The following is a 17,780-nucleotide window of genomic DNA, read 5'->3' as shown; positions in this document are numbered from 1 at the left end:
CAAGATTTGGCCACAGTAGCGATTTTGACATTTCTTCTGGCATATTACAGTGGGGCTGTCTTGGGAACTATTTCTTCTAAGGAAGGAAATTTTCATAGCTCTGAAATTAAGGGGCAAAAAGAAGAAAGTGTTTATAACTGAAGGTGCTGGCACACATCTTGATTGATTTGGGTTGTACCTGTTGCTTTTCTGGTATTATTTACCCTAATGACTGCATGGCTCGCTCCCTAATTCAGGTTTCTGCTCAAATGCTATTGCTGCAGAAAGGCTTTTCCTACTCTCTGTGTTCGAAGGGCTTCTCCATCACTGCCTCCCTACCCTGCTGATTATTCTTCATAACCTTTACACCATCTGACTTTAAAAATAAAAAATCAATTTATCCACTTGTTTACTTCACCCCACTGGAATGTAAACTCTAAGCAGGCAGAAACTTTTTCACTTTCGTTTACTGCTATATTCTCAGTGCTTAGAATAGTGCTTGACTTCGAGTCGTTCCTAAGTAAATACTATTGATTTAGTAAGTAAATGGATGGTTAGCTTGGGCTACTTTGCCCATGCTGATTTGCGTGATTGATTAGCTTCATATTTTCTTCAAGAAATCAAAGAATAGCATGGCTGCTTCTTTCTTATTTATATTCTAGGAGGTATTTAACTGAAAGGAATATCTGCTTCACTGTTGCAACCAAACCAGATGCCTTCTTCCACTTCACCAGACCAAGGAGATGACCTGGAGAACTGCATTTTAAGATTTTCTGACCTGGATTTAAAAGATATGAGTCTTATTAATCCCAGCAGCAGTCTTAAAGCAGAATTAGATGGCAGTACAAAAAAGAAATACTCGTTTGCAAAGAAAAAGGTAGAATTCTTATGAATGTTTCATGATCATGTATGTGTGGTTAACGCAGATACATTTGGAAGTCGGTTATCAAGGTTGCTCTCCAGCTCAAGGTAAAGTCTAGTCAGGAACATTAACCAGTGATGTTAATTCCATCCCAGGCAAAGGGTAATCATAGGCAAGGTGTGGTCCTGGAATAGCCATGGTGGAGTACTTGAGGAGGGTGGATCCTAGACAGATGGATTAGATTTCATTCCCCACCCCCCAGGTCAAAAAAGACCATAAACAAAGTTGAAAACCAAATGACAAGTGAAGAAAAAAGTTGGTAATTATGATCAACAAAAGATCACTAAAAACACGTATCAGTAAGAAGATAAATGCTATAATGGAAAAATAGGCAACAGATTTGAACAGGCAAGCCAGAAATAAACAAATAGATTAAGCAGGAAAAAGTATTCAGCATTACTACTAATCAAAAATATTAAAAAAAAAAATAGGGTAGCATTTCTTTTGCCTTTTATTTGGACCAACATTAAAAATATTGATGATAAAAAATACTGATAGAACTCAGTGAGGCTATGGATAAAATGGCACCCACATGCTTTTCTGGTTAGAGTATAAATTGGTACATTTTTCCTGGAAGTCACTATTACAGATTAAAATTTCATGTTCTTTGACCCCTCAATTTTTATTTTAGATATTCTAAGTAGGTGGTTAAAGATATAGAAAGATAGATGCATGGAATGCTCATTCAACATGGCTTTTAATTGCAAATATTAGAAACAATCTAAATGTTCATCAGTTGGTAACTGGTTAAGAGAATTTTCTGTTTGATTGTTTTACAATAAGCATAAGTAATTTTTATAAAAACAGTAATATTATTTTCCAAGAAGGAAGATATTTTGGTACGTTTCTTCCTGGTCTTTTTCAATGTACTTTTTAATGTGGTTAAGATTACATTGCATAAGCAATTTTATCCAATTTTTTTCACTTAATATTATATCATAAAATATTTTTCCATATAACTTAAAACTGGCTGCTTAATATTCCATGGTAAGCATACTTCATAATTTACTTTCCATATTCCTTTCGAAAATAACTAATAGTGTTATTTGTGATATTTTAGGCCAAACTGTATTATGTATTTTCCAGTGTGACTTAGTCTTATATCCTGAGAATAAAATTATGATGCTGAGAGTTATTTAACCTCCTCAATATAAAGCCTAGTTTTAATTTCTCTAATAGTCTCTTCTAAAGCTTACTAATAAGAGAAGTGTTACTTCTCAGAGAATTGTATAACATAATGGAACATAAAACTAGAAGCCCCTGTGGAAAGATAATCTAAAGAATCTTAGTGAGACTTCTATTAGCCATAAACCTAAGGTTATTTAACAGTGTTAGCATTTGAAATCTAATTGCAGGCCTTTGCCCTTTTTGTCAAAACCAAAGAAGTTCCAACAAAAAGGAGTTTTGAATGTAAAGAAAAATTGTGGAAATGCTGTCGGCAGCTATTCACAGACCAAACCAGCATCCATAGACATGTGGCAACACAACATGCTGATGAAATTTATCACCAGACAGCTTCTATTTTAAAGCAACTGGCTGTGACATTGAGCACCTCAAAGAGTCTTTCGTCTGCAGATGAAAAGAACCCTTTAAAAGAGTGCCTTCCACATAGCCATGACGTGTCTGCTTGGCTCCCTGATATAAGCTGCTTTAACCCTGATGAGCTGATAAGGTAAGATTTTCATTCTGTATTTTGGTTTGATTTAAAGTATTTTTCCAACCACAATGAGATACTACAATTCACCCATTAAAATGGCTAAAGTGAGAAAGACCAACTGTGTCAAATGTGAAATGAGGATGTGGAACAACTGGAACACCCAGTCACTGTTGGTGGGAATGTAATATGGCACAACCACTTTGGAAAAGTGTTCGGCAATTTCTTAAACATGCATCGTTCCTGTGGCCCACTCCTGGGTATAATACCAACAGCAATAAAAACATATCCACAGAAAGCCTTGTACAAGAATGCTCATAGCAGTTTTATTCATAATAACAAAAAACTGGAAACAACTGCAAATATCCATCAACAGGAGAATGAATAAACTGGTATAGTCATGTAAGAATATTGCACGACAATAAAGTGCTATGAACTGCTAATATTCAAGAACGTATATGGGTGAATGAGAAAATCCTTATGCTGAGTGAAAATAGCCAGACAATACATATTTTCTGATTTCATGTACTTGAAGGCAAAACTAATATATGATGATAGAAAGGTTCTGGCAGAAAGTTTGGGAATACACAAGAGATTTTTTGAGGTATTGGAAATGTTCTGGTTTTGATAGTGGTGTGGATTACACAGGTATACTTGTGTCAAAAATGATCAAACTTTACACTTAAGATCTGTGTATTTCACTTGTAAACTGTGCCATGCTTTAAACATTTTTAAATAAATAGGGCAGGAAAAACTAAGCAAAAAAAAGGGGGGGTTTCTTTTAAGCTAGATATCATTATCTGTATGATTTCAAATATACGTATCCAGAAAAATGCATCATTTACTAGGTTTATTGGGGAATGTAGCATTGCACATAGGGAATTTTTAAGAAAGCAGGTAAATGTAGCTTACATTTTAAAGCATCTAAACTTTCTTTGATTTAACCTTTTTTTTTTTCTGGAGTCTTTCAAACTGCATTAGACTCTTCTTTAATTGCATAATTAAACAGAGTATAGTGAATGTGATTGAACTTTTTGTGAGTGCTTTAATGCCATCAGGATGAACTTAAGTAGGATGCCAAGGTATAAAAGTTTGTCTTTTTACTAAGACGGCTCAGACTTACTCTTCTGTTACCTCTCCTCCCTCTCTTCTAATTCTAGATCCAAACTCTCTGTATTATTGCTATGTACCAAATTCAGCTTACAGCAGCATAGTTGGTGTTACTAGCTCAGAGTCTCTCATGAACTTGCAGTCATCTCATTGCTTGACTGGGGCCAGTAAATCTGTTTCCAGGTTCACTCATGTGGTTGGTGGCAGGCTTGTTTTTTCAGTGGCTTTTAGTCAAAGGCCTCCATTCCTCTCTGTGGGGGTCTCTTCATAGGCTGCCTGAGTGCTCTCATGACATGGCATGTGATATGTGAGAGACAGAGACACTTCAAGACAGAAACCACAATCTTTTATGACCTAATCTCAGATTGCCATACCATCACTTTTTATTGATGCTATTGGTCACGTAGACTAACCTCAGTACAGTCTAGGAGAGAACTATGCAAGGGTCTAAATACCAGGAGGCAGGATCATCAGGGATCATCTTGGAGGCTGGGCACCATACCTCAGAGTTGTTACTTTTTAGTGTGTATTACCTAGCAGCACTGCCTGCACTTTACCTATTCTTTCAGGATCTTAACTACTTGCAACAGCTAGATCCTTAAGGCACAGAATTCTAGAGGCCTAAGTTAGGCCAATAACATGCATACTATATATAGCCAAAGACCATAGCCTGTGCAGCAGCATATACCCAGTCAGTTGACATTGTTTGTGAGGTTTTTTCTTTTTTTTTTTGAGACAGAGTCTCACTCTGTCACCCAGGCTAGAGTGCAGTGGTGTGATCTTGGCTCACTTCAACCTCTGCTTCCCAGGTTCAAGTGATTCTCCTGCCTCAGCCTCCCGAGTAGCTGGGATTACAGGCATGCACCACCATACCCAGCTAATTTGTATTTTTAGTAGAGACAGGGTTTCACCATGTTGGCCAGACTAGTCTTGAGCTCCTGACCTCAGGTGATCTGCTCACCTTGGCCTCCCAAGTGCTGGGATTACAGGTGTGAGCCACTGCATCCAGCCTGTTTGCAAGGTTTCTTGGAGACCATTCTACATATTCTTTAGGGAGGAGAGGTAAAGAAAGAAAATTATATTATTTTCAAAAACAAGTGGGAAGACACAGAGACATTAATGATTCCTCTACCCTATGTAATGTCAGAGCTTAAAAAAGGGTTTTGTATTAGTCTGTTTTCATGCTGATAAAGACATATCCAAGACTGGGCAATTTACAAAAGAAAGAGGTTTAATGGACTTAACAGTTCCGCATGGCAGGGGAGACCTGATGATCATGGTGGAAGGCAAGGAGGAGCAAGTCACATCTTACGTAGATGGCAGCAGGCAAAGAGAGAGAGCTTGTGCAGGGAAACTCCTGTTTTTAAAACCATCAGATCTTGTGAGACTTACTATCACAAGAACAACATGGGAAAGACTCATCCCCGTGATTCAATTACCTCCCACTGGGGTCCTCCCATGACACGTGGGAATTGTGAGAATTACAATTCAAGATGAGATTTGGGTGGGGGCACAATCAAACCATATCATTCTGCCCCTGGCCCCTCCCAAATATCATGTCCTTACATTTAAAAACCAATTCTGTCTTCCCAACAGTCTCCAAAGTCTTATTTCAGCATTAACTCAAAAGTCCACAGTCTGAAATGTCATCTGAGACAAAGCAAATCCCTTCTGCCTATGAGCCTGTTAAAAGCAAGTTAGTTACTTCCTAGATACAATGGGGGCATAGGCATTGAGTAAATACAGCCATTCCAAATGGGAGAAATTGGCCAAAACAAAGGGGCCACAGGCCCCATGCAAGTCCTAAATCCAGCAGGGCAGTCAAATTTTAAAGCTCCAAAATGATCTCCTTTGACTCCGTGTCTCACATCCAGGTCATGCTGATGCAAGAGATTGGTTCCCATGATACTGGGCAACTCCGCCTTTGTGGCTTTGCGGGTATAGCCTCCCTCCTGACTGCTTTCACAGGCTGGGGTTGAGTGTCTGCATCTTTTCGGCACACGGTGCAAGCTCTCAGTGGATCTACCATTCTGGGGTCTGGAGGACCATGGCCCTTTTCTCATAGCTCCACTAGGCAGTGCCTCAGTGGGAACTCTGTGTTGGGGCTCTGACCCCACATTTCCCTTCTGCACTGCCCTAGCAGAGGTTCTCCATGAAGGCCCTGCCCCTGCAGCAAACTTCTGCCTGGGCATCCAGGTGTTTCCATACATCCTCTGAAATCTAGGCAGAGGTTCCCAAACCCTGATTCTTGACTTCTATGCACTCACAGGCTCAACACCACCTGGAAGCTGCCAAGGCTTGAGGCTTGCACCCTCTGGAACCATGGCCTGAATTCTACATTGGCCCCTTTCGGTCACAGCTAGAGTGGCTGGGATGCAGGGCACCAAGTCCCTAGACTGCCCACAGCAGGGGGACCCTGGGTTTGGCCCATGAAACCATTTTTTCCTCCTAGACCCTCAGGCATTATCGGGGGAACCAGCCCCCAATATGTCAACGTAGGTTCTTTTCTATTTTCTCTAAGTGTTGGCCGGCCTGAGAAATAAAGAGAAAGAGTACAAAACAGAGAAATTTTACAGCTAGGTGTCCGGGGGTCGCTTCACATGTTGGTAAGTTCTGTGATGCCCACCTGAGCCACAAAACCAGCATGTTTTTATTAGGGATTTCAAAAAGGGAAGGGTGTACGAATAGGGAGTGGATCACAGAGATCACATGCTTCAAATGGCAATAAAAAAGATAACAAGGGCAGAAGGGCAGAGCAAGGTCACAAGGCCAGGGCTAAATTAGAATTACTGATGAGGTTTCATGTCCCACTGTGCACGCATTGTCTTTAATAAACATCTTAACAGGAAACAGGGTTCAAGAGCACAGAACCAGTCTGACTAGAATTCGCCAGGCTGGAATTTCCTAATCCTAGCAAGCCTGGGGGCACTGCAGGAGACCAGAGCGTATTTCATCCCTCATCTTCAACCGCATAAGGCAGACACCCCCAGAGTGTCCGTCCATAGGACCACCCGGGAATGCATTCCCTTCCCAGGGTTATTCCTTACTGGGAAAAGAATTCAGCGATATTTCTTCTACTCATTTTCTTCAATAAGAAAAATATGACTCTGTTCTGCCCGGCCCCGCAGGCAGTCAGACCTTATAGTTACCTCCCTTGTGCCCTGAACATGGCTGTTACCATGTTCTTTTTCAGGGTGCCCAGATTTCATATTGTTCAAACACACATGTTTTACAAACAGTTTGTGCAATTAACACAATCATCACAGGGTCTTGAGGCGACATACATCCTCAGCTTATGAAGATGACGGGATTAAGAGATTAAAGACAGGCATAGGAAATTATGAGAGTATTGATTGGGGAAGTGATAAATGTCCATGAAATCTTCACAATTTATGTTTAGAGATTGCAGTAAAGACAGGCATAAATTATAAAAGTATTAATTTGGGGAACTAATAAATGTCCATGAAATCTTCACAACTTATGTTCTTCTGCCACAGCTTCAGCCAGTCCCTCCGTTCAGGGTCCCTGACTTCCCACAACAAGGCATGTGATAGGAGGGGCTGTCATGAGGACCTCTGACATGCCCTGGAGACATTTTCCCCTTTGTCTTTGGGATTAACATTTGGCTCCACATTACTCATGCAAATTTCTGTAGCCAGTTTGAATTTCTCCTCAGAAAATGGGATTTCCTTTTCTATTGCATTGTCAGACTGCAAATTTTTTGAACTTTTATGTTTTGCTTCCCTTATAAAACTGAATGCCTTTAACAGCACCCAAATCACCTCTTGAATGCTTTGCTGATACCCTAAATCGTCTCTCTCAAGTTCAAAGTTCCCCAAATCTTTAGGGCAGGGGCAAAATGCCACACCAGTCTCTTTGCTAAAACATAACAAGAGTCACCTTTGCTCCAGTTCCCAAGAAGTTCCTCATCTCCATCTGAGACCACCTCAGCCTGAAGTTCATTGTCCATATCATTATCAGCATTTTGGTCAAAGCCATTCAACAAGTCTCTAGGGAGTTCCAAACTTTCCCACATCTTCTTGTCGTCTTCTCAGCCCTCCAAACTGTTCCAGCCTCTGCCTGTTACCTAGTTCCAAAATCACTTCCACCTTTTTGGGTGTCTTTTCAGCAGCACCCCACTCTACTAGTACCAATTTATTGTATTAGTTCATTTTCATGCTGCTGATAAAGACATACCCAAGACTGGGCAATTTACAAAAGAAAGAGGTTTAATGGACTTACAGTTCCACATGGCAGGGGAGGCCACACAATCATGGTTGGAAGGCAAGGAGGAGCAAGTCACATCTTACATGGATGGCAGCAGGCAAAGAGAGAAAGCTTGTACAGGAAAACTCCCAGTTTTAAAACCATCAACTCTCATGAGATTTATTCAGTCTCATGAGAACAGCATGGGAAAGACCTACCCCCATGATTCAATTAGCTCCCACTGCGTTCCTCCAATGACACGTGGGAATTGTGAGAATTACAATTCAAGATGAGATTTGGGTGGGGACACAGCCAAGCAATATCAGGTTTTTATTGCCAGATACAGTTTTCTGAGCTGAATATGTTTTAGGAAGTGTATTAACTTTTAAAACTGAATCATAGGATTAGATGTTTAGATCCTGGCCTTGAAAAACTCACCAAGTCATATTACAGAATTCCAGAGGACAAATTTCTGACTTTAAGCAATTATTGAACTATTTGGTAAATAGAAATACAGTTGATCCTTGAAAAACACGGGGTCAGGAATCCAAGGATTAGGGGCAGTTGAAAATTTGCGTATAACTTTTAACTCCCCCAAAACTATACTAATAGCCTCCTGTTGACTGAAGCCTTATCAATAATGTAAACAGTCAATGAACACATCTTTCTATGTTATGTATATTATATATTGTATACTGTATTAAAGTAAGCTAGAGAAAATGTTATTAAGAAAATCATAAGAGGCCAGGTGCAGTGACTTATTCCTATAATCCCAGCATTGTGGAGGGCCAAGGCAGGAAGATCACATTAGGCCAGGAGTTCAAGACCAGTCTGGGCAACATAGTAAGACCCTGCCCTACAAAAAAAAAAGAAAAAAAGAAAATCGTAATACATATTTACTATTCTTTATGTTAAATGGTTCGTCATAAAGGTCTTCATCTTTGTCACCTTCACATTGAGTAGGCTGAGGAGAAAGAGGGATTGGTCTTGTTGCTGCATGAGTGCTAGAGGCACAAAAAGATCTACAAGTAAGTGGACCTGCACAGTTCAAACCCGCGTTGCTCACGGGTCAACTGTAGTCCAAATTTGATCAATTTTTGTCATTACTACTCAGTGCCACATTCCCTTTTACTTATTGGAAAGGAGCAAGAAAGCAAGTTGAAGTAGAAGTCACACTTGAGCTAGTCACTAAAATTTTCTGTACCTTCATTTCCTCACCTCTAAAATTGGAATAATAATGCCTGCCTTGCCTACCTCCCAGTACTGCAGAATGAGTTATATAGGACGGTGATAGTATAAGCAGTTGTGAACTACACTGTGCTATACAGATATGGCCCTTCCATTTCATATGGCCCCACACTTCAGGGAATTTACTTACTAGTTAGAAAAACAACGAAAAAGACACATGAGGCAATTAGCAGATGATAACGGGTTACATAATTATCAGTTGAATTGTATGTTACAGAGACTAACTTGTTATAGGAGCTTAGAGAAAGGAAAATAGGATCTAAAATAGACAAGAAGGTTTCATGGAGGAGCATGGAAAGCATGGAAGAGACTAGGCCCTGAAATATGATGAGGCTGTTGAGGAGGGACTCAGACTCCAGAGCTGGATAGGACCTTAATTGTCGTGTACTGTAGCATTCCCTAAAATATGTTCTGTGGAACACTAGTTCTAGAGGATGCTAACAAGGTATTGAAAAAAGGGGTATTAAAGACAAATTTGGGAAGCACTCAGTCAAAATGTTGTTACTGCAAGACTTCTCAGAGCCTTTAAGAGGCTTTGGCTGTGATTCTTAAGGAGGGAGATGCTGTCTGCAGGGTTTCCAAACATAATTTTATAGAACAGCTTCATAACATACTTTGGAAAATATAGTTTATTTCCATTCTCTGATTTTACAGATGAGGAAACCAAGGCCCAGAAGTGATGAAAGACCTGCCTAGCTAGTTAGTGTAAGACAGCCCAGTGCAGTAGAAAGAGTATAGATCTGGTATCAGAAGACTGGCGTTTAGGTCCTTACTATCACTTTCTGGCTGTCTGACTTGGGAGGAATTGGCCTCAATTTATTCAGCTGTTAAATGGGGATAATAATAACCTGCATCATAGAAAGAGGGTTATAAGAATAAATGGAAGTGAAACTTTTTTGTATGATGATTCATACAGATACTGCTTTATGTGAGAGGATAGGCCAGAATGGAACCAAATTTCTAACTTTTCTATGAATTGGAGTTACTAATACCTGTCTCTTGGATGTGACCATTAAATGAGGGATCAAAGTAAACTCACTTTTTGTAAAGTAAGTTCAGTGCAGATACTGTCTTCTGTAGAGCAAATATAAAAAGAAGTTGCTTCTCATTTCAGGAGGAGAACAATCATCACAGCAAAGACAGGCATGAGTGTCCTCATCTTAGCCTTCCCTCAGACTGCCTGGGTGTATTTTATGAATTGTGACTTCTTTATGCCAGCGACTCAAATGCTCTTTGCCTTGGATTTTCATTTTATAGTGGCCAGGGCAGTGAAGAAGGGGAGGTGCTCCTTTATTACTGCTACCATGACCTGGAGGATCCCCAATGGATCTGTGCCTGGCAGACAGCTCTGTGTCAGCACCTGCACCTCACAGGCAAGGTAACACCTTCTCCTATATTCCTTCCTTCACTGGGTCCATCTTGCCTGCCAACCTTGGATTGCAAATGCTGTGCTCATTATAAAAAAGATTCACTGTTGAGTTCTTAAAAGTTAGGGAAATTCTGCTGAGCATTTAAGTAGAATATTAGGCAGCCATTAACATGGTATTTTATAAGAATATTTACTGGCATAAACCAGGAGTCAGCAAACTTTTTCTTGAAGAACCAGATAGTAGATAATTTTAGGTGTTGCACAAAAAACTATTCAGTTTTGTTATAGCATGAGAGCAACTATAGATAATAATGTAAAAGAATTGGATGGCTGTGTTTGAATAAAACTATATGCAAAAGCAAGGATAATATGCCGACCCTGGTATAGGGAAATGTTTGTGATATATTAATTGGAAAAACATTTTATAGAACATAGAGGTGTGATTCCAAGTTGCTTCTTAATTTTCTGGAACCTGCCAGGGTCATTTACCAGCTCAGGGTATTGACATTTGCTGTTTCCTTCCTCTCTAGAGTGCTCTTCCCTGCACCTTCACATGGCGCATACCCCACTTCAGATCTCGGCTCACATATTGTCTCCTTAGAGCTGCAGTCTGAAGTAGTCCTCTCCAGATCTCATCACATTCTATCCCTTTCTGCTTTTCAAAGGATTTATTACTATCTGAAAGTATAATCTTCATTTATAAGCTTCATGAGGACAGTAACTTTGGTCTTAATTGATGTATTCTCAGTGCTGGAACAGAGCTTAGCATGTAGTAGACCCTCAGTAGATATTTGGAGAATATAGAATGAAGGAATGAATGCATGTTCATGACAAAACCAGAAGTGCATGTATAAACATGGAAGGTTGTGTATACCAAAATGTTAGTAAGGATTATCTAGGCATGTAGGATTATCGATGGTTTTTATTTTCCTAAAATATTCTCTGATTACATTATACACATGCATATGTCTATGTATTTTATATGATTTTCAAAATTTAAATCGAAAGGAAGTGAACTAGTTTCCCCCAAAACCCCCTCTGGTTATGACACTGTGCTGCCTTGTTTCATCTTTCCCAACATATGACCCAGGTCTGAATTGATCAGTGATATTTTTCACATCCATGTTTTCCAACAGATAATGACTTCATTTACCTCATTCAGTTCATCACCAAGGCCTGCCATTTCCACCTCTTCAAATATTCCTTAATTCCGTTCCCTTCTCTCTTCCACACTCACCACTTTAGACCAAACCACCACCCTCTCTTACCCAGTCCATTCAGTAGCTTTCAAATTACTCTTCAGCTTGCCATCCCTGCCTGCCACTTAATCCATTCTCCACACAGCCATAATGATCCTAAAAGGTGAATCAAATCACATCACTCCCTCCTCAAACTCTTTCAGTGGCTGCCACTTCTGGTGCATATGGAGGAAATCCAGTGCCTTAAAAATGCCCTTAGGTTCCTGCGTGAGTTGGCCCCTTCTTACCTTTTCCTCTCGTCTGATACTGTTCTTTGCTCATTATACTCCAGCAACATGGTCTTTCAGTTTTTTGGAACCCACCGAGTTCTTTTCTCTCCTTGGGCCTTCTTACAAGCAAACTATCTTCAAGGAACTCTCCTACACCCACTCTGCTGCTCCAGTCTGATTTTTACTCAAGCTTAGTTTTCAATTTTCATGACACTTCCTCAAAGAGACCTTTCCTGTCAATCTAAATTCATTTTTCCCAGTGCACTCTCTCATGGCATCTTGTAATTGTTTTTCATAACATTTGTCCATTTGTAACTTTTATTTTAATATCTGTGACCTCCCATAGTCTGTAAGCTCCTAAAGGGGAAAAGCTATATTTTTTTCAAGCACTGTATCCCTAATTCCTAGCACAATTCCTGGTGTAAATAAATAAATAATATTTAATACTTTCATCACCATTCCTATTCAGAAAACTTCCACACCCTGAAAGATGGATACTCTCACAGTAAACCTGAATGTACAAGGTTTGAAAACAGCCTCTTGGTTTAGAGGCAGATCATTTTTCTTGGCCCAACCCAAGTGCTAAATTAGCAATGAGGGATCTTACCCACAAGGTGGCAGCACTTGCCTAGATCTTGGATATAAATTCCTAGGTGTCAAGGATACATGCCCAGTTTAATGAGAGTTTTGTGTTTGGAGATTTGGCAAAATATCAGTGCCTAAGTAGGGAAAGAGAAGAACCTGACAGTTGTAGAATTATGGGAAAAAAGCCTCTACTCTATTGCTGTGTATTCTTTATTGCCTCAAAAAATTTGAGGGGATACATTGAAGGCTTTGGAAAGGAAAAGTTATAAGATTGGGAGCTAGTAAGATCTGGTTTTGAATCCCAGATTTACCAGCTATCAGCTATACCACTGGGCAAGTTACTTGATTTCTCTGAGCTTTTGTTTCCTTTTCTGTAAAACGGGGATTATGATATCTGCCTTTCAGGATTATAATGTAATGCTTCTGTCTCATAGCAAGTGCTGAATAAATGCTAATGATTGTTCTTCTCAGTTTCTTACAAGGCCTTCCTCACTAAGGAGCTTTGAAGGATTTCTGTTAGAGAATCCTGGGGGTTCAAAGTCTAGTGCACGAGTTTAGAGCATGCTCTGCCCTAGCTATATAGGGAGCAGATGTGCTTGTCTTCTCTTTGGGTTCTGAGATTAAAATAAATTAGAAAAGAATCTACTAGCCTACCCCAAGAGAGGTACTTAGACATACATACTTCATCCTACCTGCTGTAGTCAGAAACTCTTTTGGAGTGGGTTTTCTGACTCTTACACTGATTGGGCTCTATTTTTCTATGTAGTCCACTATAAGTTGGTAGTGGGGACAGTAGCCTGTGTAGCAGAGATGTCACAGGCTTCCTGCTTCCCTCTCCCATGCCCAGAACTGGCTTCACTAGACTGCAGCACTGTTTCTCAAGGAGTCTGGATGTGACCCGGAATCTTTGTCATGGAACTCTGGAAAACATTTTACAGTACTATACGTAGAGGTGTGATTCCAAGCTTCTTAATTTTCTAGAACCTGCCAGGGTCATTTACCAGCTCAGGGTATTGACATTTGCTGTTTCCTTCCTCTCTAGAGTGCTCTTCCCTGCACCTTCACATGGCGCATACCCCACTTCAGATCTCGGCTCACATATTGTCTCCTTAGAGCTGCAGTCTGAAGTAGTCCTCTCCAGATCTTGTCACGTTCTATCCCTTTCTGCTTTTCAAAGAATTTATTACTATCTGAAAGTATAATCTTCATTTATAAGCTTCATGAGGACAGGAATTTTGGTCTTAATTGATGTATTCTCAGTGCTGGAACAGAGCTTAGCATGTAGTAGACCCTCAGTAGATATTTGGAGAATATAGAATGCATGTTCATGACAAAACCAGAAGTGCATGTATAAACATGGAAGGTTGTGTATACCAAAATGTTAGTAAGGATTATCTAGGCATGTAGGGTTATCGATGGTTTTTATTTTCCTAAAATATTCTCTGATCATATTACACACATGCATATGTTTGTGTCTTTTATGTTCTTTCAAAGTTTAAAATTATATACCACTTCCAATGAGTTGGCATTGGCTTGTGCCATGAATCTTGTTTTATATCCATACCCTAAAGAGTTGATCAGGTAGGGCTGGGTGCGATGGTTCATGCCTGTAATCCCAGCACTTTGGAAGGCCGAGGCAGGCAGGTCACAAGGTCAGGAGATTGAGACCATCCTGGCTAACACGGTGAAACCCCGTCTCTACTAAAAATATGAAAAATTAGCCGGGCGTGGTGGCGGGCACCTGTAGTCCCAGCTACTTGGGAGGCCGAGGCAGGAGAATGGTGTGAACCTGGGAGGCGGAGCTTGCAGTGAGCCGAGATTGCACCACTGCACTGCAGTCTGGGCGACACAGCGAGACTCTGTCTCAAAAAAAAAAAAAAAAAAAGAATTGATCAAGTGAGGCATCAACTGATGTGTCTTCTCTGGACCCTAAAAAAGGACAGCCATTAAAAATTTTCAAATTATGAAGTACTGGTATATATCAGTGTTATATGACTAGAACAATATAGGACCTTGAATTAAATCATCTCTTTTTCCAGACAGTGCCATGATGCCACATGTGCTGCCCTTGCTAGCACTTTTCTTTAGAGAGCTCAGTTCCCTTTAAAGATGATCCATCTTTAAACTCATCCACAGGATTTTGTAGTACGAAAACAACCAACTCTGCAGGGCCCCCAGAACACTGCCTCTTAAGGCTGGGGCTTTACCCCAGGCTCTAATGTCCCCTAACCAGGGGAGCATTTCAAAGAGAATATGGGACTTGAGATGCCAAAGAGCCCCAGATATGGATGCATATTCATTTATTCAACAAATCGTATTGAGTGCCTACTATGTGGCAGGCACTGTTCTAGGGGATATGCTGGTGAGCAAAACAGACACACACCCATGTGGAACTTGTATTCCAGTGGATGGTTTGCAGTGGTAGGCTGTCCTCCAAACACCATGCAGAGATACATGCTCATGTATACCCTCAGCCCTCAGATGTACTCTGTGCTTTAGGATTTTGGTAGTATCTCCTCAGCAGTTCTTTTCATTTCTGGTGCTCTTTAGTTCCCTTTTTATTCATATAAAGAAATTAAGATTCAGAGAAGTCAATTAACTTTCTCACAGCTACATGCAAGTGAGTGGCAGAGCTTAATCTTGAGCCTAGATCTGCTGACCTCTGTGGAGGACTCTGTTAAGCTACCTGGATTTAGATTAAGCTCAGAATTCACTTCTTTGGCTGTTGGACTATTGTAGCTCCATAGCAAATGGGGCTTTCCAGGAGTTTTATTCACATTCTTTTGTTCAGCATGCATGAAACAGAATACCTCATCTGAACTGAAGGCTATGCCATTTTAGAAAAATACAAGTATCCAGCTGGGCACGGTGGCTTGTGCCTGTAATCCCAGCACTTTGGGAGGCCAAGGCGGGTAGATCACTTGAGGCCAGGAGTTGGAGACCAGCCTGGCCAACATGGCGAAACCCCGTCTCTACTAAAAATACGAACATTAGCTGGGCTTGGTGGCGCATGCCTGTAATCCCAGCTACTCAGGAGGCTGAGGTAGGAGAATCGCTTGAACCCAGGAGGTGGAGGCTGCAGTGAGCCGAGATTGTGCTATTGCACTCCAGCCTGGGCAACAGAGCAAGACTCTGTCTTAAAAAACAAACAGGTATCCATCTCACACCTGTCAGAATGGCTGTTATTAAAAAGTCAAAAAATAACAGATGCTGGTGAGGTTGTAGAGAAAAAGGAATACTTATACACTATAGGTGGGAGTGTAAATTAGCTCAACCGTTGTGGAAGACAATGTGGTAATTCCTCAAAGACCTAAAGACAGAACTATCATTCGACCCAGCAATCCCATTACTGGGTATGTACCCAAAAGAATATAAATTGTTCTGTTATAAAGACACATGTATGCATATGTTCATTGCAGCACTGTTCACAGTAGCAAAGACATGGAATCAACCTAATGCCCATCAGTGATAAACTGGATAAAGAAAATGTGGGAATACTATGCAGCTATAAAAAAGAACAAGATCATGTCTTTTGCAGGGACATGGATGGAGCTGGGAGCCATTATCCTTAGCAAACTAACGCAGGAAGAGAAAACCAAATACTACATATTTTCACTTATAAGTGGGAGCTAAATTATGAGAACGTGGACACATAGAGGGGAACAACAGACACTGGGGCCTTTTGGAGGGTGGAGGGTGGAAGGAGGGAGAGGATCAGGAGCATAACTAAGGGGTACTAAGCTTAATACCTGGGTGGTGAAATAATCTGCACAATAAACCCCCATGACACAGTTTTACCTGCAGAGCAAACCTGCACTTGTATCCCTGGACTTAAAAGTTTAAAATAAAAAAGAAAAACACAGATATCTTTGTCCAGTAACACTTTGGTGTCCTCATCAGCGTCTCTGCTTTTCCTGTTAAACTCATTGACACACATGAGCCTATTGTTCTTCCCTGGAAAGATAACCAAGCTAAGAACAATCTGTTCTCTTTTTCACCGTCTTGTGTCTCAGATTCGAATTGCTGCAGAAGGAATCAATGGGACAGTTGGTGGAAGCAAATTGGCTACCAGACTTTATGTGGAAGTCATGCTTTCCTTCCCATTGTTTAAGGATGACCTGTGTAAAGATGATTTTAAGGTAAGAGAAAATGAAAATTAAATGGATCTAGAGCCATCTGCTTCTGCCTCTGTGCATGTTATTGAAGAGGAGTTCAAAGTAGAGAAATAAGCAGTGCCAAATAAATACCCTTTCCCCTTTATTTTTTGGGGCTTGGGGAGTTTTTTTGTTTTGTTTTTTGACAGGGTCTTGCTCTGTCACCCAGGCTGGAGTGCAGTGGCGTGATCATGGCTCACTGCAGCCTCAACCTCCCTGGGCTCAGGTGATCCTCCCAGGTAGCTAGGACCATAGGCGTGCATCACCATGTCTGGCTAATTTTTTTGTAGAGACGGGGTCTCACTATGTTGCCCAGGCTGGTATGGAACTCTTGGGTTCAAGCAGTCCTCCCACGTCAGCCTCCTATAGTGCTGAGATATGGACGTGAGATACCGCACCTGCCCCCTTTCCCCTTTAAATGTGCTTTTCTCTTTAGGTTACGAGACAGTACAATAGAAGGAGTATGCTCGTCCCCATTCTTTCACTGAGTCACCATATGATTTTGGACCAGCTAGTGCTCTAGACCTCAGTATCCCTTCTTATAAAATAAGAATGTTACAGCTCATGCAATCTGGGACTCCAAATCTTGGACATATTAGCTCACTTGAGAGACCACCAGCCTGGTCAGCAGATCACTGTGTTTTTAGTAAATCTGGAATTGTAAGATTAACACTTCATACCACATGGGGGAATAAAGTTGTTGCTCTCACAGGTGGGCTGCTTTGTTTGAGTGACTTTATACCTTGTCATAATAAGTGATAAGGTGATGGGAAATGCCTTGCTAGCGTTCATGCTGGCAATGATAGGAAAAGAATGAAAACCGGGTATAGTCACATGTTAGAATTGCTCAGCGGTGTTGCAGTTTTATAATTAAATGCTTACACCTAAAGAAACACTTTTTCAGCTTAACATTCCTGCACATGGCAGGTATGCAGTAAGTATTTATCAATGTTGAATTATCTGGAACATTCTGGGCCCTAACTAGAGGTTTTTTAAGACTTCAGCTATTGTTATTACAAAACAGACCATCATTCTTATATTGGCACTTGTCTTATACCTGGAGATGGGACAGCAAGACTGTATTC

At 40.7% G+C, this 17,780-nt stretch overlaps 1 protein-coding gene across 1 annotated transcript in view; it reads left to right on the top strand.

Moving 5' to 3' along the window:
• The window catches only part of TSTD2 (thiosulfate sulfurtransferase like domain containing 2), a 33,289-nt gene that overhangs the window by 5,115 nt on the left and 10,394 nt on the right, over window positions 1-17,780 (top strand). The window contains exons 2-5 of the mRNA NM_139246.5: window positions 642-856; window positions 2,257-2,573; window positions 10,377-10,497; window positions 16,555-16,680. Coding sequence (NP_640339.4) covers window positions 692-856; window positions 2,257-2,573; window positions 10,377-10,497; window positions 16,555-16,680 — 729 coding nt within the window. The 5' untranslated portion in view covers window positions 642-691. The remainder of the gene's footprint in view (window positions 1-641; window positions 857-2,256; window positions 2,574-10,376; window positions 10,498-16,554; window positions 16,681-17,780) is intronic.

Source organism: Homo sapiens, chromosome 9, assembly GCF_000001405.40.
Source record: "Homo sapiens chromosome 9, GRCh38.p14 Primary Assembly".
NCBI lineage: Eukaryota > Metazoa > Chordata > Mammalia > Primates > Hominidae > Homo > Homo sapiens.
The sequence above is the reverse complement of the archived record's forward strand: the minus strand, read 5'-3'. Positions and strand labels throughout refer to the sequence as shown.